The 23104-nt window shown below is 47.0% G+C and overlaps 1 protein-coding gene across 8 annotated transcripts in view, besides 4 other annotated features; it reads left to right on the top strand.

Moving 5' to 3' along the window:
- Window positions 3479-3528: an enhancer, noted in NCBI's record as "active region_26321". NCBI's record gives its function as "activates an Ori minimal core promoter by ATAC-STARR-seq in GM12878 lymphoblastoid cells {active_cell/tissue: GM12878}" and the evidence as "EXISTENCE:reporter gene assay evidence [ECO:0000049][PMID:35858748]".
- Window positions 3892-23104, top strand: part of ZKSCAN5 (zinc finger with KRAB and SCAN domains 5) — a 30039-nt gene continuing 10826 nt past the window's right edge. The window contains exons 1-5 of one of the 8 annotated variants that reach the window (NM_001318082.2): window positions 3892-3963; window positions 5173-5688; window positions 11683-11821; window positions 19057-19139; window positions 19399-19534. In NM_001318082.2, the coding sequence (NP_001305011.1) occupies window positions 5275-5688; window positions 11683-11821; window positions 19057-19139; window positions 19399-19534 (772 nt within the window). In that variant the 5' untranslated portion in view covers window positions 3892-3963; window positions 5173-5274. Of the gene's footprint in view, window positions 3964-4219; window positions 4391-5172; window positions 5689-11682; window positions 11822-19056; window positions 19140-19398; window positions 19535-23104 lie in introns of those variants that run through there. The other 7 variants (NM_145102.4, XM_017011921.3, NM_014569.4 and 4 more) reach the window with 7 other exon arrangements.
- Window positions 3919-4098: an enhancer, noted in NCBI's record as "active region_26322". NCBI's record gives its function as "activates an Ori minimal core promoter by ATAC-STARR-seq in GM12878 lymphoblastoid cells {active_cell/tissue: GM12878}" and the evidence as "EXISTENCE:reporter gene assay evidence [ECO:0000049][PMID:35858748]".
- Window positions 4479-4558: an enhancer, noted in NCBI's record as "active region_26323". NCBI's record gives its function as "activates an Ori minimal core promoter by ATAC-STARR-seq in GM12878 lymphoblastoid cells {active_cell/tissue: GM12878}" and the evidence as "EXISTENCE:reporter gene assay evidence [ECO:0000049][PMID:35858748]".
- Window positions 8074-8267: a silencer, noted in NCBI's record as "fragment chr7:99106467-99106660 (GRCh37/hg19 assembly coordinates)". NCBI's record gives its function as "represses an EF-1alpha promoter that drives an FKBP-Casp9 reporter gene in an ReSE screen in K562 erythroleukemia cells {active_cell/tissue: K562}" and the evidence as "EXISTENCE:reporter gene assay evidence [ECO:0000049][PMID:32094911]".

Here is a 23104-nt window from a genome sequence, read left to right on the forward strand (position 1 = left end):
GGACTACAGGCGCGCGCCACCATGCCCGGCTACTTTCTGTATTTTAGTAGAGATGGGGTTTCACCATGTTGGTCAGGCTGGTCTGGAACTCCTGACCTCGTGATCCGCCTGCCCCGGCCTCCCAAAGTGCTGGATTACAGGCGTGAGCCGCTGCGCCCAGTTGGAAAAAGTTTTGTTTTTTTTTTAAAACTAAGTGCTTCCATGTACATCAGATGTTAACGACTTTGATCCTAACAAACAAACAAAAAAGATGAGGAAATTGAGGCTCAAAGATGTGTCCTGGCCTGGCTCAGTGGCGTATGCCTGTAATCCCAGCATTTTGGGAGGCTGAGGGGGGAAGATCGCTTGAAGCCAAGAATTGGAGACCCCAATGTCTACAAAAAATAAAAAATTAGCTGGGTGTGGTGGTGCACACCTGTAGTCCCAGTGAGAGGTGAAGCTAGTTGGACTTCCTGGGTCCAGTGGGGACTTGGACAACTTTTCTGTCTTACAAGAGGTTTGTAAAAATGCACCAATCAGCGCTCTGTAGCTAGCAAGAGGTTTGTAAAATGCACCAATCAGCGCTCTGTAAAATGGACCAATCAGCAGGATTCTAAAAGCAGCCAATCGCAGGGAGGATGGAAAAAAGGGCGTTCTGATACGACAGAAACGGACATGGGAGGGGACAAATAAGAGACTAAAAGCTCCCACCCCAGTCAGCGGAGGCAACCGGCTGGAGTGCTCTGCCATGCTGTGGAAGGTTTGTTCTTTCGCTCTTCACAATAAATCTTGCTGCTACTCACTCTTTGGGTCCGTGCCATCTTTAAGAGCTGTAACACAGTGAAGGTCGGAGGCTGCATTCTTGAAGTCAGCGAGAGGATGAACCCACTGGAAGGAACCAACTCAGGATACACCACTTACTTGGGAGGCTGAGGTGGGAGGATCCTTTGAGCCCAGGAGGTAAAGACTGCAGTGAGATATGATCGCACCAGTGCACTCCAGCCTGGGTGACAGAGCAAGACTCTGTCTCTAAAACAAAGTGTCTTGGTTGATGTCAAGCTGCTGGTGATTTGCAACTTGCATAAAATGAGACGATCGCTTGAGACCAGGAGTTCCAGGCCAGCCTGAGCAACATAGAGAGGATGTGTCTCCATATAAAAATAAAAAAATTTTTTTTTGAGAGGGAGTATCGCTCGGGTTCAAGCGATTCTCCTATCTCAGCCTCCCAAGTAGCTGGGATTACAGGCGCGTGCCACCACACCCAGCTAATTTTTTGTATTTTTAGTAGAGACGGGGTTTCACCATGTTAGCCAGGATGGTCTTGATTTCCTGACCTCGGCTCACTGCAACCTCTGCCTCCTGGGTTCAAGCAATCCCCCTCCCCACCCCACGCCCAAACAAACCGAACACTATTTATCAATCCAGGTGTGTTTAATAACTAGACATAAAAATATCTCTTATGGAGCCAGGTGCGGTGGCTCACGCCTGTAATCCCAGCACTTTGGGAGGCCGAGGCGAGGGGATCACCTGAGGTCGGGAGTTCAAGACCAGCCTGACCAACATGGAGAAACTTCGTCTCTACTAAAAAATACAAAATTAGCCGGGCATGGTGGCGCATGCCTGTAATCGCAGCTACTCGGGAGGCTGAGGCAGGAGAATCACTTGAACCCAGGAGGCAGAGGTTCACTAAGCCAAGATCGTGCCATTCACTCCAGCCTAGGCAACCAGCAAAACCATCTCAAAAAAAAAAAAAAAAAAAAAAAAAAAGGAAACTAGTCATCTTGGCTATCTCTAGAGAGAAAAATGAATGTAGAATGAGAATGAGAGGAAGACCTTAAGTGCCTTATTGAATTTTGACTCATGCAAATGTGTTATCTATTTAAGAAATAAATTATTGAAATGCAAAAGGTGTTTATAAATAATTCAAACCGGTTGCGGTGGCTCACGCCTGTAATCCCAGCACTTTGGGAGGCCGAAGCAGGCAGATCACGAGGTCAGGAGATGGAGACCATCCTGGGTAACACGGTGAAACCCCATCTCTACTAAAAATACAAAAAGTTATCCAGGTGTGGTGGCACACACCTGTAATCCCAGCTACTCAGGAGGCTGAGGCAGGAGAATCGCTTGAACCCGGGAGGCGGAGGTTGCAGTGAGCCGAGATCATGCCACGGCACTCCAGCCTGGGCGACAGAGTGAGATTCCGTCTCAAAAAAATAAATAGATAAACAAACAAATAAATAAATCATTTAAATGGAGGTAAATATATTAGAAAAGAATGGGTATCCACCAAACATTTTTTTTTTTGAGACGGGGTGTCTCTGTCACTGAGGTGCTGAAGTGCAATGGCACAATCATAACTCACTGCAGCCTCAACCTCTTGAATTCAAGTGATCCTCCAGTCTCAGCCTGCTGAGTAGCTGAGACTATAGGCATGTGCCACCATGCCTAGCTAATTTTATTTTATTTTTTGTAGAGACGGGGTAAAAAGGCCAGGCTGGTCTTCAACTCCTGGATTCTAGTGATCCTCTCACCTCGGCCTCCCAAAATGTTGGGATTACAGGCGTGAGCCACCATGCCCATCTGGAACAACTTTCATAGACATTAAACAACTTTATACGAGCAACAAAATTAAGCCATAGGTGCAAAATTCTATACCAACTCACTAACACACAAAATACGGGCATTGCAAACATTCACCGGGGGTTTGGTCCTAGATAGGAAGCTACTTAAAATGCAAGATTTTGGGCTCCCTGAAAAGAGACCTTTAACTTCTAAATATCTTCTCATCTTTTTGCAGATGCTGCAATTTCACAGCAGTTCCTTCCTTCGCGCCTGTAAAACAGTGGCAACAGTAACTCTTCTCCTGCCTGCCCATCAACTTTGTAAACTGCGCGGGGCGTAGGGGGAGGGGAGGGCTGGGGCCTGGAAACTATAAAGCACCATATGAAAAGGAGAGCACTGGGAGGTCGATGCGGGCGCATCACCTGAGGTCAGGAGTTCGAGACCAGCCTGGCCAACATGGGGAAACCCCGTCTCTACTAAAAATACAAAATAAGCCGGGCGTGGTGAGTGTGCCTGTAATCCCAGCTACTCGAAAGGCTGAGGCAGGAGAATTGCCCGAACCTGGGAGCAGAGGTTACAGTGAGCCGAGATCGTGCCATTGCACTCCAGCCTGGGGGACAACGAGACTCCGTCTCAAAAAACAAAACAAAACAAAACAAAAACGGGAGATTATTACTAAGAGATGGGGTCTCACTATGTTGCCCAGGCTGGAGTGCAATGGTGCGATCCCGGCTCACTGCATCCTCAGCCTCCCGGGTCCAAGTGATTCTCCTGCCTCAGCCTCCCAAGTGGCTGAGATTACAGGCTCGCGCCACCACGCCCAGCTAAGTTTTTGTATTTTTAGTAGAGACGGGGTTTCACCATGTTGGCCAGGCTGGTCTCGAACTCCTGGCCTCAGGTGATCCACCCACCTCGGCCTCCCAAAGTGCTGGCATTACAGGTGTGAGTCACCGAGCCCGGCCAAGGGAGGGTATTTCTAATAGACAGGGGTCTCGCTATGTTGCCCGAGCTGGTCTCGAACTCTTGGGCTCAAGCGATCCTGCTTCTTCAGCCTGTCCACTAGCTAGGCTTACAAGCGTGGGACCCCGCGCCTGGCTGAAGAGAGGTATCATTAAGGACGAGACCCCCTTGGCCAGGGAAGCCCTGCGTAAGCAACGCCCCTCTCTTCAAAGGGATGCCCCGCTCCCTCCGCCCACTCCCAGCCTTCCAGCCTTGGCTCCCGAGGACACGACTCCGGGCCCTGCCACCTTCTGATAGGCTCGCGAGACCGAGGCTGCAAAGAGAGCCGCCCCCCATTGGCCAACCGGCGAGTCCCGCGCGCCACCTCCTGGGAGATGTAGTTCCGGGAACAGCTGGCCCCTGCGACTCGCGGGTGTGACGTTGAAGATGTCGGCCTTCTGAGCCGACTGCGGTGGTCAAGAGGTGGGTTTGTTTGGAAAGTGGGTGGTGAGAGTAGCGAGGATGCGGGTGAAGAAAACCTAAGGGCCCCAAATTCAACATAAGCGAGGTTTGCGGGCTGTCAGCAAGGTACAGACCTACTTCAAATCGGGGCGCAGAGCGTTGGGGGTGGGGGAAGGCGCAAGCTCCCCGGCCAATCAGACACGAGCAACCTCAGCCCAACTCTGGAGGCCCCGCCCCCTTCCCCGCCCCACGGAAAGGGGAGGAGCTTGGGCTGTTTGAATGGCTTTGGGATGGAGCAGGGGAGAGAGTGGCTCCGTTTGCCTCCCCGCTTTGGTGATGCTGTGCGAGCGGCTTCGGGGGCCCTGGAGACGTCCGAGTCACTGAGGGTGGGCTGGGACTCGGGGCCCGCGTCCCATCTCCCCGCCGATTGGTCCGCCCCCCGTGCGAGGTGAGGTCCTCCGGGATTCCTAGAGAGGACGCGGAAGTGCTTTCGGGGGGGGGTGGGATCTAACGGTTTAACCCCGTTGGACAGGGCAAGATTGGACTTGGTTACTTCCGGCGAGGAAGTGTTGGGGAGTGTCGGCTTCGGTTTCTCTCCGTGGGAAGAACCGCATCTTCCCAGCCTCGGCTGCGGGGAGCTTGATGTTCCAGGAGAGCTCCCCTAGAGTGGGGCCTTGAGGGGAGGGGGCAGGGGCTTCGTGACTGGACGGGGGTCCTGTCCCTAACCTTGACCGGGCCACAGTCTCTGTATCTCGGGGTCAGGGGCCATTCTGAGGAATCCAGGTCCAGATCTGTACCTTATAAACGCTGCTTCTCTTTGGGACCGATGGAGTCTCCCCTTGGCCTGTCAAGCTCTTGTAGCTTAGAGAACAGGCTCAGTTTTGACCATTATAATGATTTTCACCCTTATTCCGACTTAAGTTCGTCTTATGGTAGAGAGAAAGAGCGGCTGCGTCTGGACTAGTTAGTCTCGTCCCGTTATTTATATGGAATGTAAAGTTCTTCACTCTAAAACTGTGTTTTAGGTTGGGCCTGATGTCAGATTTGTATGGCTCTCTTTTACACTTTTAAAATGTTGGGGTTATTCCTTATTATCATTTTGTGGGTGAAGTGATGGCTACCTTGTAGTACCTATTTTTAAGTAAATTACTTTGTTGAGTGGTCGTCTTTAGTATAGATGACCTCTTTGCCATCTGTCTTTGCTAATAATGATGCCCAATACATCAGTAGGTTGCATGCTACTGAAAGTGTCCTTCAGAAGATATTAAAGAGCAGAAAAACAATTGTTTCAGTGTAACACAGCCAGCCTCGAAGACTTCCCTCTGAGTTGGAATGATAATGACCGAATCCCGAGAAGTTATAGACTTAGACCCCCCAGCTGAGACTTCCCAGGAGCAGGAAGACCTTTTCATAGTGAAGGTGGAAGAAGAAGACTGCACCTGGATGCAGGAGTACAACCCGCCAACGTTTGAGACTTTTTACCAGCGCTTCAGGCACTTCCAGTACCATGAGGCTTCAGGACCCCGGGAGGCTCTCAGCCAACTCCGGGTGCTCTGCTGTGAGTGGCTGAGGCCCGAGCTGCACACGAAGGAGCAGATCCTGGAGCTGCTGGTGCTGGAGCAGTTCCTGACCATCCTGCCTGAAGAGTTCCAGCCCTGGGTGAGGGAACATCACCCTGAAAGTGGAGAAGAGGCGGTGGCCGTGATAGAAAATATACAGCGAGAACTTGAGGAACGCAGACAGCAGGTGAGTCAAAGAGAAGCTATATGAGCAATGAAGGAGAGGAGTGAACCATCTGCTGAGCAGGGGTGAGATTCTTAGTCCTCTGCTGCTTCATTCATATTCTTTTGTTCTCCTGGGATTAGGTACCCTGTGACTTCCTGCCACTCCAGCAAAGAGAAGCAATATCCAGTGTGTTAACCTGTAGAAGACAATCTGCGATCTTATTTATTTTTTAAATTACTGTATTTATTTAATTATTTATTTTTGAGACGGAGTCTCGCTCTGTCGCCTATGCTGGAGTGCAGTGGTGCGATCTCGGCTCACTGCAAGCTCCGCCTCCCGGGTTCACGCCATTCTCCTGCCTCAGCCTCCGGAGTAGCTGGGACTGCAGGCGTCCGCCACCAGGCCCGGCTAATTTTTTTTTTTTTTTTTTTTGTATTTTTAGTAGAGACGGGGTTTCACCGTGTTAGCCAGGATGGTCTCGATCTCCTGACCTCGTGATCCTCCCACCTCGGCTTCCCAAAGTGCTGGGATTACAGGCGTGAGCCACCATGCCCGGCCACTGTATTTATTTTTTGAGTGACATGATACAAAATTCAAAGAGGTACATAAGGTTGTAATGAAAAGTAAGTTTTCCTCCCATCCCCAATTTCTCTCAACTGCCTAGTTCTCACCTGTGTATTCTTACAGAGCTGTACCATATTCTGTATGTATAAGCATATATACGTCTCATACTTTGGAAAAACGCAAATGTCTTTTAAGTCACTGTGCACTTCTGCCTCTTTTTTCTTATATCTTGGTTTCTTCCACGCCACTGCCATTGCAGCTATCTCACTCTCTGAAATTGCATTGTATTAACTTTTATGGAAGGAGTTTGAGTTGTTCCATTTAAATTGTTCCTTGAGATTGTTTCTAAATTTGTATTATAACAAACTTTGCTGCAATGACTATCTCACATATATGTCTGTATATATGTGTGTATGTAATATACATAATGTATGTGTTTGCGTATATATGTATATATATGCGTATATATGTGTATATATGTGTATATATGTATATATGTGTATATATATGTGTGTATATATGTATATGTGTATATATATATGTATATATATGTATATATATGTGTATATATATGTGTATATTTATGTGTGTGTGTATATATATATGTATATATATAGGCTGGGCGCAGTGGCTCACACCTGTAATCCCAGCATTTTGGGCACCTGAGGTGGGAGGATCACTTAAGACCAGGAGTTCCACATCAGCCTGGGTAGCATAGCGAGACCCCATCTCTACCAGAAAAACCAAACAAAAAATTAGCTGGGTGTGGTGGCATGCACTTATACTTCCAGCTACTCAAGAGGCTGAGGCAGCAGGATCCCTTGAACCTGGTAGTTTGAGGCTGCAGTGAGCTGTGATTTTGCCACTGTATTCCAGCCTGTGTGACAGAGGCATACCCTATTTCAAAAAAAAGTAAAAAGTTAAAAAAATTTAAATTGAAAAAATATATGTATATAAAATTAACTGTAGAAGGAATGCTTGAAACTCAAAATTGTTGGCTTAGAAATACATGTGTAGGCCGGGCACGGTAGCTCATGCCTGTAATCCCAGCACTTGGGGAGGCCGAGGTGGGCAGTTCATGAGGTCAGAAGATCGAGACCATCCTGGCCAACATGGTGAAACCCCATCTCTACTAAAAAATACAAAAATTAGCCGGGCGTGGTGGCACGCACCTGTAATCCCAGGCACTCGGGAGGCTGAGGCAGGAGAATCGCTTGAACCTGGGAGTCGGAGGTTGCAGTGAGCCGAGATTGTGCCACTGCACTCCAGCCTGGCAACAGAGCGAGACTCCATCTCAAAAAAAAAAGTACATTTGTAATTTTGATAGCTGTTGACAGGTTGGTTCCCTCATAGAGGGTATAACAATTTAGAGTACCACCAACAATGTATGAGAGAAATTTTGTGGCCATAGCCTGGTAGAACAATGTTATCAAAATTGGTCATGATTGCCAGTACATAAGATGCAATATTGGCCGGGCATGGTGACTCACGCCTGTAATCCCAGCACTTTGGGAGGCTGAGGCGGGTGGATCATGGGGTCAGATCAAGACCATCCGGGCCAACATGGTGAAACCCCGTCTCTACTAAAAATACAAAAATTAGCTGGGTGTGGTGGCATGCACCTGTAGTCTCAGCTACTTGGGAGGCTGAGGCAGTAGAATCGCTTGAACTTGGGAGGCAGAGGTTGCAGTGAGCCGAGATTGCGCCACTGCACTCCAGCCTGGGCGATGGAGCGAGACTCCCATCTCAAAAAAAAAAAAAAAGATACAATATTTTATTTCTGTGAAATTTTTCTTTCTTTCTTTCTTTCTTTCTTTTTTTTTTTTTTTGGAGACAAGGTCTTACTCTGTCACCCAGACTGTAGTGCAATGGTGCAATTTTGGCTTACCCTCCACCTCCCAGGCTCAAGCAATTCTCTTGCTTCAGCCTCCCAAGTGGCTGGGATTACAGGCATGTGCCACTACCGCCTGGCTAATTTTTTTAGTTTTTTTATTTTTATTTTTTTGAGGTGGAGTCTCACTCTGTCACCCAGGCTGGAGTGCAGTGGTGCGATCTTGTCTCACTGCAACCTCAGCTTCCTGGGTTCAAGTGATTCTCCTGCCTCAGCCTCCCGAGTAGCTGGGATTACAGACATGCACCACCATGCCCAGCTAATTTTTGTATTTTTAGTAGAGACAGGGTTTCGCCATGTTGGCCAGGCTGGTCTTAAACTCCTGACCTCAGGTGATACTCCTGGCTCTGCCTTCCAAAGTGGTGGGATTACAGGCGTAAGCCACATGCCCGGCTTAATTTTTGTATTTTTAGTAGAGATGGTGTTTCACCATGTTGGCCAGGATGTTCTCAAACTCCTGACCTCAGGTGATCCACCTGCCTTGGCCTCCCAAAGTGCTGGGATTGCAGGTGTGAGCCACCACGCCTGACCATATCTGTGAAATTTCAATTAAATTTCTTTTGTTTGACCACAGCACTTTTTTTTTTTTTTTGAGACAGAGTCTCACTCTGTTGCCTAGGCTGGAGTGCAGTGGCGTGATCTCTGCTCACTGCAAGCTCCACCTCCCGGGTTCATGCCATTCTCCTGCCTCAGCCTCCCAAGTAGCTGGGACTACAGGCACACGCCACCATGCCCGGCTAATTTCCTGTATTTCTAGTAGAGTCGGGGTTTCACCGTGTTAGCCAGGATGGTCTCGATATCCTGACTTCGTGATCTGCCCACCTCGGCCTCCCAAAGTGCTGGGATTACAGGTGTAAGCCACTGTGCCCGGCCACAGCATATATTTTTAAAGATTATTTGTATACCCTTTTATGGTGGTGAATTGTCTGTTTATATTCCTTATCTATATTTTTTTACCTTTTGGAAACAATAAGCATTGTGTCTGTCATAGGAGTTGTAAGCGTTATTTATCCAATTTGTTGTTTGTGTTCGCTTGTGGAGGTTTTTGTTTTTCATGTTTTCTTTTTTTAGAGATAGGGCCTCACTCCGTTGTCCAGGCTGGAGTGCAGTGGCACAATCATAGCTCACTGCAGCCTCGAACTCCTGGCCTCAAGTGATCCTCTTGAGTAGCTAGGACTACAGGCACTTGCCACCACATACAGCTAATTAAACAAAAATTTTTTTGTAGATGAGGTCTTGCCTAGTTGCCTAGCCTGGTCTGGAACTCCTGGGCTCAAGGGATCCTCCTGCGTTGGCCTCCCAAGGTGCTGGGGTTACAGGTGTGAGCCACTGTGCCCAGCCAGGTTTTAAATTTTTTTTTTTTTTAAGACGGAGTCTGGCTCTGCCACCCAGGCTGGAGTGCAGTGGCCTGATCTTGGCTTACTGCAACCTCTGCCTCCGGGTTGATTCTCCTGCGTCAGTCTCCTGAAGGTTTTAAAATTTTTATACAGTTAGTTAAGTATTTCATTTTATGGTTAATGGATTTTGTTTATTTTTTATTTTTATTTATTTAATTTAATATTTTTTTTTGAGATGGAGTTTCACTCTTGTTGCCTAGGCTGGAGTGCAATGGCACGATCTCGGCTCACTGCAACCTCCACCTCCCGGGTTCAAGCGATTCTCCTGCCTCAGCCTCCCGAGTAGCTGGGATTACTGGCATGTACCACCACACCAGGCTAACTTTGTATTTTTGGTAGAGATGGGGTTTATCCATGTTGGTCAGGCTGGTCTCGAACTCCTGACCTCAGGTGATCTGCCCGCCTCGGCCCCCCAAAGTACTGGGATTACAGGCATGAGCCACTGCGCCTGGCCTATTTATTTATTTTTTTGAGACAGAATCTTGCTCTGTCACCCAGGCTGGAGCATTGGTGCAATCTCAGCTCACTGCACTCTCCGCCTCCCAGGCTCAAGCGATCCTCCCCACCTCAGCCTCCCGAGTAGCTGGGACTATATAGATGTATGCTACCAGGCCTGGCTAATTTTTATATTTTTAGTAGAGGTGTGGTCTCGCCATGTTGCCCAAGCTGGTCTCCAACTCCTGAGCTCAAGTCATCCACCCGCTTCTGCCTCCCAATGTGTTGGGATTATAGGCATGAGCCATCATGCCCGGCCTGCAGCTGTCTCTTAATGGAACTCCTGCACCACATTTTGCCAGTAGCAGGAGGATTCGAAAAAAAAGTGCTTTGAAATGTAAGGGAGGGAGAAAAGGGGAAAGGAACTTACTACATTCCAATATGTTAGTAGTGAGCTAGTACCTTCCAGAATTCCAGGTTCTAGAGAGTGGTTGTGGCAGAGTAATTGTGTATATCTAGGGCTGAGCAAGAACCAAAAACAGAAGGGGTGTGAGGTAGCCTCAGTCTCAGTGTTGGTCTGTCCAGTGTGACTTACTGAGTGCTATGATGACCATTCCAATCTCCCTTCTCACCTCTGTTTCCTCTTCACACACTGGCCTTCTCATGATTCCTGACTGTACTAGACATCCTCTTTCTGCCTGAGAATTTTGTTTTCTTTCTTTCTTTCTTTCTTTTTTGAGACAGGGTCTTGCTCTGTCACCAAGGCTAGAGTGCAGTGGTGTGTCATAGCTCACTGCAGCCTTGACCTCCTGGGCTCAAGCGATCCTCGCACCTCAGCCTCCTAAGTAGCTGGGACCACAGGGACATGCCACCATGCCTGGCTAATTTTTTAATTTTTTGGAGAGACAGGGTCTCACTGTGTTGCCCAGGCTTGTCTTGAACTCCTGGGCTCAAGCGATCCTCCTGCTTCAGCCTCCGAAAGTGTTGAGATTATAGGCATGAGCTACCGTTTCAGTGTTCTCTCTGCCTGGGTCACTTCTACGTTTTTCCCGGCTGGCTTCTTCTCATCCATTTTTTTTTTTTGAGACGGAGTCTCGCTCTGTCACCCAGGCTAGAGTGCAGTGGCGCAATCTCGGCTCACTGCAAGCTCCGCCTCCCAGGTTCATGCCATTCTCCTGCCTCAGCCTCCTGAGTAGCTGGGACTACAGGCGCCCACCACCACACCCGGCTAATTTTTTTGTATTTTTTTAGTAGAGACGGGGTTTCACCGTGTTAGCCAGATTGGTCTTGATCTTCTGACCTAGTGATCCACCTGCCTCAGCCTCCCAAAGTGCTGGGATTACAGGCGTGAGCCACCCCGTGCGCCCAGCCCTTCTCAACCTTTAAGTGTTTGCTTACGGGACACTTCCTCCAGAAAGCCTTCCCTGGCCTCCCAGTCTAAAATAGGTCTCCTGTGTTCTGTCTCATGGAATTAGTTTCTTCTCCTTTCCAACATACAGCCCAGTTTGTAATTATGTATTTATTTGTGTTTTGATGTGTTTGATGAACGTCTTCTCCAACTAGAAGTAAACCATGTTTATTAAGTAACTGCATAATCAGTGCGTGGCTCATTGTAGATGCACATTAAATATTTGGCAAAGGAATGAATGAAAGTCCACCATGATTCTACTGATTTCTTTCGTGGCCTTCTCTGTAACTGTACTGATCGGTTTTGGTTGTGGTTGTTAGATTGTTGCCTGCCCTGATGTGCTTCCTCGGAAGATGGCAACACCTGGAGCAGTGCAGGAGTCCTGCAGCCCCCATCCCCTGACCGTGGACACCCAGCCTGAGCAAGCGCCACAGAAGCCTCGTCTCCTGGAGGAAAATGGTGAGGCTCAGTGATTCAGTGGAACTGATATAGCTCAAGAGTGGGTGCCTTGGCCATGTGGCAGGCACTATCTGCGGGAGAGAGACTCTAGGCTGAGCAGCCTCTCTACAGCCTGCAGGGTCTAGAAGCAGGGAAAGGCCAGGGACCTGGAGTTGAGTCCCTGGTGTTCAATGAAAGCCATTCCTAGAATGGCTAGGAATTACACCAGCTTCTTTTTTTTTCTTTTATTTATTTATTTATTTATTATTATTATACTTTAAGTTGTAGGGTACATGTGCACAATGTGCAGGTTAGTTACATATGTATACATGTGCCATGCTTGTGTGCTGCACCCACTAACTCGTCATCTAGCATTAGGTATATCTCCCAATGCTATCCCTCCCCCCTCCCCCCACCCCACAACAGTCCCCAGAGTGTGATGTTCCCCTTCCTGTGTCCATGTGTTCTCATTGTTCAGTTCCCACCTATGAGTGAGAATATGCGGTGTTTGGTTTTTTGTTCTTGCGATAGTTTACTGAAAATGATGGTTTCCAATTTCATCCATGTCCCTACAAAGGACATGAACTCATCATTTTTTATGGCTGCACAGTATTCCATGGTGTACTGCCACATTTTCTTAATCCAGTCTATCATTGTTGGACATTTGGGAAAGACACATGCACACGTATGTTTATTGCTGAATTACACCAGTTTCATTAAAAACCTACAACGCAAATGATGACAGCTCTGGGTACAGGGACTGTTAAAAGATCTACACGTCTTTTACAAAAGTATCACAGATTTTTGCCTTTCTGTCATAGATTGTCTTTCTTTTATTTTTGAGACAGAGTCTCACCCTGTTGCCTGGGATGGAGGGCAGTGGTGCGATCTTGGCTCACTGCAGCCTCTGCCTCCCAGGTTCAAGTGATACCTCCACCTCAGCCTCCTGAGTAGCTGGGACTACAGGTGCCTGCCACCATGCCCAGCTAATTTTTGGATTTTTAGTAAAGATGGGGTTTCACCATGTTAGCCAAGCTAGTCTTGAACTCCTGGCCTCAAGTGATCACCTACCTTGTCCTGCCAAAGTGCTGGCATTAGAGGTGTGAGCCACTGCGCTCAGCCTCCCTCATAGATTTTCTTGTCTTAATGCTTATGTTAAAAAAACAAAAAAACAAGGCCGGGCTCAGTGGCTCACACTTGTAATCCCTGCACTTTGGGAGGCAAAGGTGGGTGGATCACCTGAGGTCAGGAGTTCAAGACCAGCCTGGCCAACATGATGAAACCCCGTCATGATGAAACACCGTCTCTACTAAAAATACAAAAAATTAGCTGGGCATGGTGGTGCGTGCCTGTAATCCCAGCTACTCAGGAGGCTGAGGCATGAGAATCGTTTGAACCCAGGAGGCAAAGGTTGCAGTGAGCTGAGACCGTGGCACTGGACTCCAGCCTGGGCAACAAGAGCAAAACTCCGTCTCAAAAAAGAAAAGAATACTGTCACACAATGCTTTTAGCAAATTTAGTCCTTCTAGCAAAATGTGATGGTCCAGAATCTCTTATTATCTTATTATTACAAAATACTGTGTGATGAAGTCCTTGCTGTTGAATGACTCACAAGATAAGAATGCCATTTCCCTTTTTGAAATTAGAAATACATTGTTCATCATTGATTCTTGAGTTTAAGAAAATTTATCTAGGATGTTATCATTTGAAACTCATTCTAGAATCTCTGTTACACTTTCAGTTTCATGATTCTCATTAGAGAGTACAGCTGTCTTTCTGTGTCATCTACTGAGTTGCCTAATAATAGTCATCCTCTTCAAATTTTCCTCTCTTTGCCAATGTGGGCAGCAAATGAAAAATTTGGAATTCTCAACCGTGTTCAATGAAAGCTAAACAAAGGTGTTAGCGATCTTTTTGGTATAAAAGAAAGTAGCTTCATGCCTGTAATTCCAGCATTTTTGGAGGCCAAAGCAGGTGGATCTCTTGAGCCCAGGAGTTTGATACCATCCTGGGCAATGTGGCGAAAACTCACCTCTACAAAAAATACAAAAATTGGCCGTGTGCAGTGGCTCATGCCTGTAATCCCAGCACTTTGGGAGGCCAAGGCGGGCAGATCACCTGAGGTCAGGAATTTGAGACCAGCCTGACCAACATGGCAAAACCCCATCTCTACTAAAAATATAAAAAATTAGCCGGGCGTGGTGGCAGATGCCTGTAATCCTAGTAGCTACTCAGGAGGCTGAGTCAGGAGAATTGCTTGAACCCGGGAGTTGGAGGTTGCAGTGAGCTGAGATCGCACCACTGCACTCCAGCCTGGGTGACAAGAGCAAAACTCTGTCTCAAAAAAAAAAAAAAATGTATTAGCTAGGCATGGTGGCACACGCCTGTGGTCCCGGCTATACCAGAGGCTGAGGTGGGAGATTGCTCGAGCCCAGGAATTCGAGGCTGCAGTGAGCTGTGATTGTGCCACTGCAGTCCAGCTTGGGAGCCAGACTGAGACTCTGTCTCCATAAAAAATAAAAATAAAAATAAAATTTAAAGCTGCTCAGAAAAGCCAGGGGTGGTGGCTCACGCTTGTAATCCCAGCACTTTGGGAGGCTGAGGTGGGTGGATCACCTGAGGTCAGGAGTTTGAGACCAGCCTGGTCAACGTGGTGAAACCCCGTCTCTACTAAAAATATGCAACAATTATCCAGGCGTGGTGGTACATGCCTGTAATCCCAGCTACTTGGGAGGCTGAGACAGGAGAATGGCTTGAACACGGGAGGCAGAGGTTGCTGTGAACCGAGATTGTGCCACGGCACTCCAGCCTGGGCAACAGAGTGAGACTCTGTCTCAAAAAAAAAAACAAAAACTGCTCAGAAAAGAAATGGAAACCACTAGGATTGTGTGCAGGACACCTGGGTATGCCAACAGGTAATCCTTCCAGTAGCTCAGTGGAATAGCTGTTACTGTTATCCTTCTGTTAGAAATTAAGCTCAGGGCTGGGCCTGGTGGCTCATGCCTATAATCCCAGCACTTTGGGAAGCCAAGGCGGGTGGATCACCTGAGGTCAGGAGTTTGAGACCAGCCTGGCCAACATGGTGAAACCCCATCTCTACTAAGAAATACCAAAATTAGCTGGGCATGGTGGCAGGCGCCTGTAGTACTGCTCCTTGGGAGTCTGAGGCAGGAGAATCACTTGAGTCCAGGAGATGGAGGTTGCAGTGAGCAGAGATCGTACCACTGCACTCCAGCCTGGGCGACAAAGCAAGACTCCATCTCAAAAAAAAAAAAAAAAAGAAAGAAATTAAGCTGAGTCCTCGAGAGGTTAAGTTGATTTGTCCAAGGTCACAAAGATATGGAATAACAGAGCTAGGATTTGAACCCAAGCAGCCTGACTGAATCCATCCTCCTCCCCTCTTCTGAGCCATCTCATCTTTGCTTTTTTTTTTTTGAGACAGGGTCTCACTCTGTTGCCTAGGCTGGAGTGTAGTGGCGTGACTGCAACCTCTGCCTCCCAGGTTCAAGCGACTCTCCTGCCTCAGCCTCCCGAGTAGCTGGGTTTACAGGCATGTGCCACCACGCCTGGCCACATCTGGTCTTTGCTTCAGCAGCAGCTTCTCTCCTAGGCACAGACTGCTCCCTCCTCGAGTCACTTGGGTTCTGTCCACTTTCAGGGTTTCTCTCCATCTGGCTCTTGTCCTCTGTTTCTAGCTGCTTCTCATCCTCTCTGCCCTGTTAACCAGATCCTAGCCGGTTTATTTTAGCAAAATTACTCTTCATTCGGACATAGACTGTATTCACCATTTTCATCAACTTCTGTTTTCAGTCTTTAGCCACTCCCGGTTTCAGATCCCTTCTCTGCTTTTGGCTTTCATCTGTAACCATTGTCCCGTCCTTTTTGTGTCATTGCTCCTTATTTCCTAGTCATTGGAAATCAGCAAGCCACGGATGCCCCCAGATCTCCAGGACTCCAGATCTAAATACCAACAGGGTCTAAACTATCCGGTTACAGCTTAATCCCAGGCAGGTCTGTGCAAGTCAAGGCACATGTGGATGGTGAGATCCAGACATGCTGTGGACCTTAGACAAAGAGCAAGCAGAGGTGACCTCGGGGTCAGGTGGTCCCTAGCTTCCAGAGGTGAGATGTCCGGGTGTTGCGCATGCTGTTCCTGCTGTGGGGAAAGCACCCTGTCTCCCCGATCTCCATTCCTACTGCCCAGAGTCACTTTCTGGGAAAAGGCTTTGCTGCTGCTGCTGCGTCTCCTGCTCCACTCTGTAAGTGCTCCTGCCTCTATGGTCCCACGGGAACTTGGGTCACCTTTCGTCATGGCACTCTTCACGCTGTGCTGTAAGGCTTACCTGTGTGCCCTTCCCATTAGACCAAGGGGTGTCCAATCTTTTGGCTTTCCTGGGCCACACTGGAAGAAGAATTGTCTTGTGCCACACATAAAATACACAAACACTAACCATAGCTGATGAGCTTAAACAAAATAAAAATTGCAAAAAAACCCCTCATGTTTATTTCTTTGAGATGGAGTTTTGCTCTTGTTACCCAGGCTGGAGTGCAATGGCGTGATCTCAGTTCAGCGCAACCTCTGCCTCCCAGGTTCAAGCGATTCTTCTGCTTCAGTCTCCCAAGTAGCTGGGATTATAGGCATGTGCCACACACTCAGCTAATTTTGTATTTTTAGTAGAGATGGGGTTTCTCCACGTTGGTCAGGCTGGTCTTGTACTCCCAGCCTCGGGTGATCCACCCTCATCAGCCTCCCAAAGTGCTGGGATTACAGGCGTGAGCCACTGTGCCTGGCCCTTCATAATGTTTTAAGAAACTTTACAAATTTGTGGGCCAGGCATGGTGGCTCACACCTGTAATCCCAGCACTTTAGGAGGCCGAACCAGGTGGATCAGTTGAGACCAGGAGTTCAAGACCAGCCTGGCCAACATGGCGAAATCCCGTCTCTACTAAAAATACAAAAATTAGTCAGGCATGGTGGCACATGCCTGTAATCCCAGCTACTCAGGAAGCTGAGGCAGGAGACTCTCTTGAACCTGGGAGGCGGAGGTTGCAGTTGGCCAAGATTGTATCACTACACTTCAGCCTGGGCAACAGAGCGAGACTCCATCTCAAAAAAACAAAACAAAATTAGCCGGGTGTGGTGGTGGGCGCCTGTAATCCCAGCTACTTGGGAGGCTGAGGCAGGAGAATCACTTGAACCTGGGAGGCGGAGGTTGCAGTGAGCTGAGATTGCACCACTGTACTCCAGCCTGGGTGACAGAGTGAGACCTTGTCTCAAAAAAAAAAAAAAGAAAGTTTACAAATTTGTGTTGGGGCACATTCAAAGCCATCCTGGGCCACGGGCCGTGGGTTGGGCAAGCTTGCATTAGACAGTACTTTTCCAAGGTAAGAATTGTTTTGTCTATTCCTGAGATGGGCAGAGAGAGAGAGAATAGATTTAATACATATTTCTTGACTGAATAGAAACTAACCATGGAAATTCTGGAAGGGATTTCTGAGGCTGTGGTAATCCAAGAGTGGTCCAGGAAGCCGTGGCACTGGCATTACCTGGGAGCTTATTAGAAGTGCAAACTAGGGGCCAGGCACAGTGGCTCACACCTGTAATCCCAGCACTTTGGGAGGCCATTGCAGGTGAATCACCGGAGTTTGAGACGATCCTGGACAACGTGGTGACACCCTGTCACTACTAAAACTACAAAAATTAGCCAAGCTTGGTGGTGCACACCTGTAATCCTAGCTACTCGGGAGGCTGAGGCAGGAGAATTGCTTGAACCCAGGAGGCGGAGGTTGCAGTGAGCTGAGATCGCGCCACTGCACTCTAGCCTGGGCCACAGAGCGAGACTCTGTCTCCAAAAAAAAAAATTTTTTTTAATTAAATTAAAAAATGAAAAAGAAATGCAAACTCTCAGGCCTCACCCCAGGCCTTTTGAGTCAGAATCTGCAAGTACCAAGATCCCCTAGGGGATGTAGGTGATTTATTTGTACATTAAAGCTCGAGCAGCCCTGGACTGTTAGGAATGCTTCAGTTTCATGGAAGATGTGGGAATTTGGTGGTTCTTTGAGATAATAAAATTTGATCTTGGCAAAGCAGAATGCATCCTTTTTTTTTTTTTTTTTTTTTTTGAGAGGGAGTCTTGCTCTGTCACCCAGGCTGGAGTGCAGTGGTGTGATCTCGGCTCATTGCAACCTCCGCCTCCTGGGTTCAAGTGATTCTCCTGCCTCAGTCTCCTGAGCAGCTGGGACTACAGGCGCCCGCCACCATGCCCAGCTAATTTTTGCATTTTTAGTAGAGATGAGGTTTCACCATATTGGCCAGGCTGGTCTCTAACTCCTGACCTTGTGATCTGCCTGCCTCGGCCTCCCAAAGTGCTAGGATTACAGGCGTGAGCCACCGTACCTGGCCCCCACCTTTTTTTTTTTTTTGAGACGGAGTCTTGCTCTGTCACCCAGGCTGGAGTGCAGTGGCACGATCTTGGCTCACTGTAACCTCCACCTCCCAGGTTCAAGCAATTCTCCTGCCTCAGCCTCTTGAGTAGCTGGGACTACAGGCACCTGCCACCACACCCGGCTAATTTTTGTATTTTTAGTAGAGGTGGGGTTTCACCATACAGGCCGGGCTGGTCTCGAACTGCTGACCTTGTGATCCTCCTGCCTCGGCCTCCCAAAGTACTAGGATTACAGGCGTGAGCCACCACGCCCAGTATTTTTTTTTTTTTTTTTTTTCTGAGACAGTGGCTGACTCTGTTGCCCAGGCTGGAGTGCAGTGGTGCAATCTTGGCTCATTGCAACTTCTGCATCCTAGGTTCAAGCGATTATCATGCCTTATCCTCTCAAGCAGCCAGGATTACAGGCGTGCATCACCACATCTGGCTGATTTTTGTATTTTTAGTAGAGATGGGATTTTGCCTTGTTGGCCAGGATGGCCTTGAATCCTGGCCTCAAGTGATCTGCCCCCCTTGACCTCCCAAAGTGCTGGTATTACAGGCGTGAGCCACTGTGCCTGGTCACAGAATGCATCCTTTATAGCGGAAAGGCAAGCAGGGATTAGCCTGACCAAAGTAGGAAGTCTAGGGTAAAGGAGGAATAAAACAGAGTGTGAGAGGATCCAGAAATTAGAGGGTCTTGACAGCCAGGCAGAAGAATTTGGCCTCGGCGCAGTAGGGGCCATTATGGATTCCTGAGCATAAGAGGAACATGATGGCAATGAGAACCGGGCAAAGATGTTCTCACTTAAACCTCTTTTTCTCCTCCCTTAGCCCTTCCTGTTCTCCAAGTTCCTTCCCTTCCCCTGAAGGACAGCCAGGAGCTGACAGCTTCACTTCTCTCAACTGGGTCCCAGGTGAGCTGGTGCCCCTTTGCCCTCAGAGAGGACCCATCCTGAACCTTCACCAAGAGTTCTGTTTCTTTAGCCAGTGACTAGGCCCATCTTGGGTTGGTACCTTCATTCCTTTGGCCTTTTTCCTTTCTGCCTAGTCCTTCCCCATCCTCTTTGAGGCACAGTTCCTCCCCCTGTTTCTTTTCTTAATGAGCCCAGTTCTTCCCCTCACTCCAAATTTGGACATAGGGAATGAGAATTTAGTGGAGATCTCCTGTTTCAGAAGTTGGTGAAAATTGAAGAGGTGGCTGATGTGGCTGTATCCTTCATCCTGGAGGAATGGGGGCATTTGGACCAGTCCCAGAAGTCCCTTTATAGGGATGACAGGAAGGAGAACTATGGGAGTATTACTTCCATGGGTAAGGATTATTTCATCTGCATGGATTAGGACATGTTTATTTTGTTATCTTGTAAAGAGTATTTCTGGCTCATCTTATAATGGCATTTATGTTTTATGTGCTATGACTTTGCTTTTTTTTATTTTTTGTAAAAGAATAAATCAGCCTTCATTTTTTTTTTCTTATTCAGTTTATTCTGATCATTTCCATCTTAATAAGAGTATGATTAAACACTGATAGTACTTGGGGGGACTGTTTTTGCAATCCAGCAGATGCTAACTTTTTACTGCTTTAAAATAAGAGTGGGTTGGCTGTGGTGGCTCACACCTGTGATCCTAGCACTTTGGGAGGCCGAGGTGGGAGAATCACTTGAGTCCTTTGGACTTTAACAAATTTTTGGTAGTTACTATACTGTTTAATAGATTGGATAATTTTGCCAGGTGTGGTAGCTCATGCCTGTAATCCCAGCACTTCCGGAGGCTGAGGCGGGTGGATCACCTGAGGTCAGGAGTTCAAGACCAGCCTGGCCAACATGGTGAAACCCCATCACTACTACAAATACAAAAATCAGCCGGGCGTGGTGGCGGGCGCCTATAATCCCAGCTACTTGGAGGACTTCATTACCATTCTTAAGTCACTGATACCTATTTTATTATGTTCGCCTTGGCACCTACATTTTACCTGTCATATCGCTTCTTGAATTTTCTGGCCCTATTTCTAACTAAGTTATAATCCTGGAAGCTAATATTTAATTGTACTGTCTGGAGCAGTTATAAAAATCTCAGCACTCCTGCAAACATTTTGGAGATTATAGCTTTTAGCCTTTTTTTAGTAAATTCTTTTAGAAGAACCACTCTATCAGGCATACTGGAAGACTTCAGATGCAAACATACACGCTACAAAATATATTTATTTTATTATTTTATTTTTTTGAGATGGAGTCTCACTCTGTCTCCCAGGCTGGAGTACAATGGCGCAATCTCAGCTCCCTGCAACCTCTGCCTCCTGGTTTCGAGCAATTCTCCTGCCTCAGCCTCCTGAATAGCTGGGGTTACAGGCATGTGCCACCATGCCCAGCTAATTTTTGTATTTTTAGTAGAGACAGGGTTTCACCATATTGGCCAGGCTGGTCTCAAACTCCTGACCTCGTGATCTGCCCAGCTTGGCCTCCCAAAGTGTTGGGATTAACAGGTGTGAGCCACCATGCCCCGCCCACAATGCAAAATTTCTTTTGAAAAACATTATGTCAGTTTACATTGTTTAACCGTTTTAGTTCACTCACAAGCTTTTATTTAACAGGTATACAGCTGACTCTGCTCTTTTAAATTTTCAATTTTTAATTACTATTGATATTATTTATATTTATTTCCTCTTTTTGATTTATTTGTGCATGCCTCTGTTCATTAATCTATTGGGATCTTGGTAGTCTTTTTTTATTTTGATGTTTTAATTTTTGTGGAAAAAAATCAAATTTATGCTTTAAAATTATTGATTAAATCAATAATTTTATGATTATTGATTTTTCATGGGGCCTTTTAGCTCAGTGAATTACTCATATAGTATAAATGTTATATTTAATGCAAATTTTAAAAATTCTTTTCTTTTTAAATTAATTTCCAATAGCTTGCTTGTTTATTTGAGCCTGTTACTCTTGCTTTATCTTTTTCAGTTACTTTATAGGTACCTAATGGATTTCAGAGTTTGAGGTTCTTGGCATAGTTCTTTCTATGGTATTCTCTAAGCAGTTTTAAATGTGTAGTTTCTGATGTTTTTCTCATTCTCTATCTCTTCATTATAACATCTGTATTTATCACTTCAATACACTATTCTACATTAATTACATGGCCAGTGGTTTCTGCCTCCTTTACTTCTCTCGGAAGGCCATGTTAGATTCTTTTCACATCTGCGGATTTCTATTAATAACAGCATCACCAGAGGTCAAAATCAAAGAAAGTACCCATCAGATTTGGAAGTGAGATTTTTACAACATAAGTAAATGAGTCTTGGAGGCAGCAGTTTCCGTGGAGTGGCAGGGGTGTTGGGGAACAAGAGATAGTTTCTTTGAAGATTGCAAAGGAGTGGAATTTGAAAAAGCTATTGTAGATGAATGTAAGGACTTTGTCTCTAAAGGGGAAGAGAGTCCTGGTCACTGAAAGAGTAATGGGTTGGATGGGTGGATTGTTTTTTGTTTCCCCTTTTTTTTTTTTTGAGACAGTGTCTCGCTCTGTTGCCCAGGGAGCAGTGCAGTGGTACGATCTTGGCTCACTGCAACCTCTGCCTCCCGGGTTCAAGCTATTCTCGCACCTCAGCCTCCCGAGTAGCTCCCGAGTAATTTTGGGATTACAGGCACCCTCCACCACAGCCGCCTAATTTTTCTGTTTTTAGTAGAGATGAGGTTTCACCACCTTGGCCAAGCTGGTCTCAAACTCCTGACCTCAGGTGATCCAACCACCTCGACCTTCCAAAGTGCTGGGATTACAGGCGTGAGCCACCATGCCTGGCTCGTATGTTTTGTTAATGGGAGAAATTTTCAGCATATTTAAATGCTTCTGGAGAAGAACTAGTAGAGTAGAATATGGAGGCAAGGAGGAGCAGACAGGCTGGGCCGTGGTGTCTCATGCCTGTAATCCCAGCACTTTGGGAGGCTGAGGTGGGCAGATCACTTGAGGCCAGGAGTTTGAGACCAGTCTGGGCAACATGGCAAAAACCTGTCTCTACTAAAAATACAAAAATTATCCGGGCATGGTGGCACGCATCTGTACTCTCAGCTACTTAGGAGCTGAGGCAGGAGAATTGCTTGAATCCGGGAGGTGAAGGTTGCAGTGAGCTGAGATCATGCCATTGCACTCCAGCCTAGGTGACAATGTGAGACCCTATCTCAAAAAAAAAAAAAAAAAAAAAAAAAAATGGAGGGGCAGTTAGCTGATGTTGGGAGATCCCTGGAAAGCAGGAAGGTATGGTGAGATCTGGGGTACAGGAAGGAGGAAGGACTGACCTTGGCTCGAGAGACATGTCTCCACTGAGAGACAAGGGGAGGAGGAAGTGAGTAGGCTGCCTGCTGAACGCAGGAACTCATGCCTGTAATCTCAGCACTTTGGGAGGCCAAGGAAGGAGGATCACTTGAGGCCAGGAGTTCGAGACCAGCCTGGGCAACATAGTGAGACAAACCCTTACAAAATATACAAAAATTAGCTAGGCGTGGTGGTGCATGCCTGTAGAGGCTGAGGTGGGAGGATCGCTTCAACCAGGGAGTTAGAAGTAACAGTAAGCTGTGATTGTGCTGCTGTGTTCCAGCCTGGGTGACAGAGCAAGACCCAGTCTCAAATCAATCAATCAATCAATCAATCAATCAATGTGTGAGACCAGTAGATATGAATAAAAGAGAAAAAAAATACTATGGTAGCTGGGATTAGCTGCATAGTTAAATGAGGGAGGAAAAAACATAAAAAGTCTGGTTTTGTGATAGGGTTTTTTGTTTATATCCCTGTTTTTACTGTTTCAGTGTCTTTTTAGGAAGGTAAGTAAAAGTAGCTATATGGTAAATTAAAATTAAAATTGTCTTCATAGTTTAGGAATTATAACTTCTGACTA

Source organism: Homo sapiens, chromosome 7 (genome assembly GCF_000001405.40).
Source record: "Homo sapiens chromosome 7, GRCh38.p14 Primary Assembly".
NCBI classification, from domain to species: domain Eukaryota; kingdom Metazoa; phylum Chordata; class Mammalia; order Primates; family Hominidae; genus Homo; species Homo sapiens.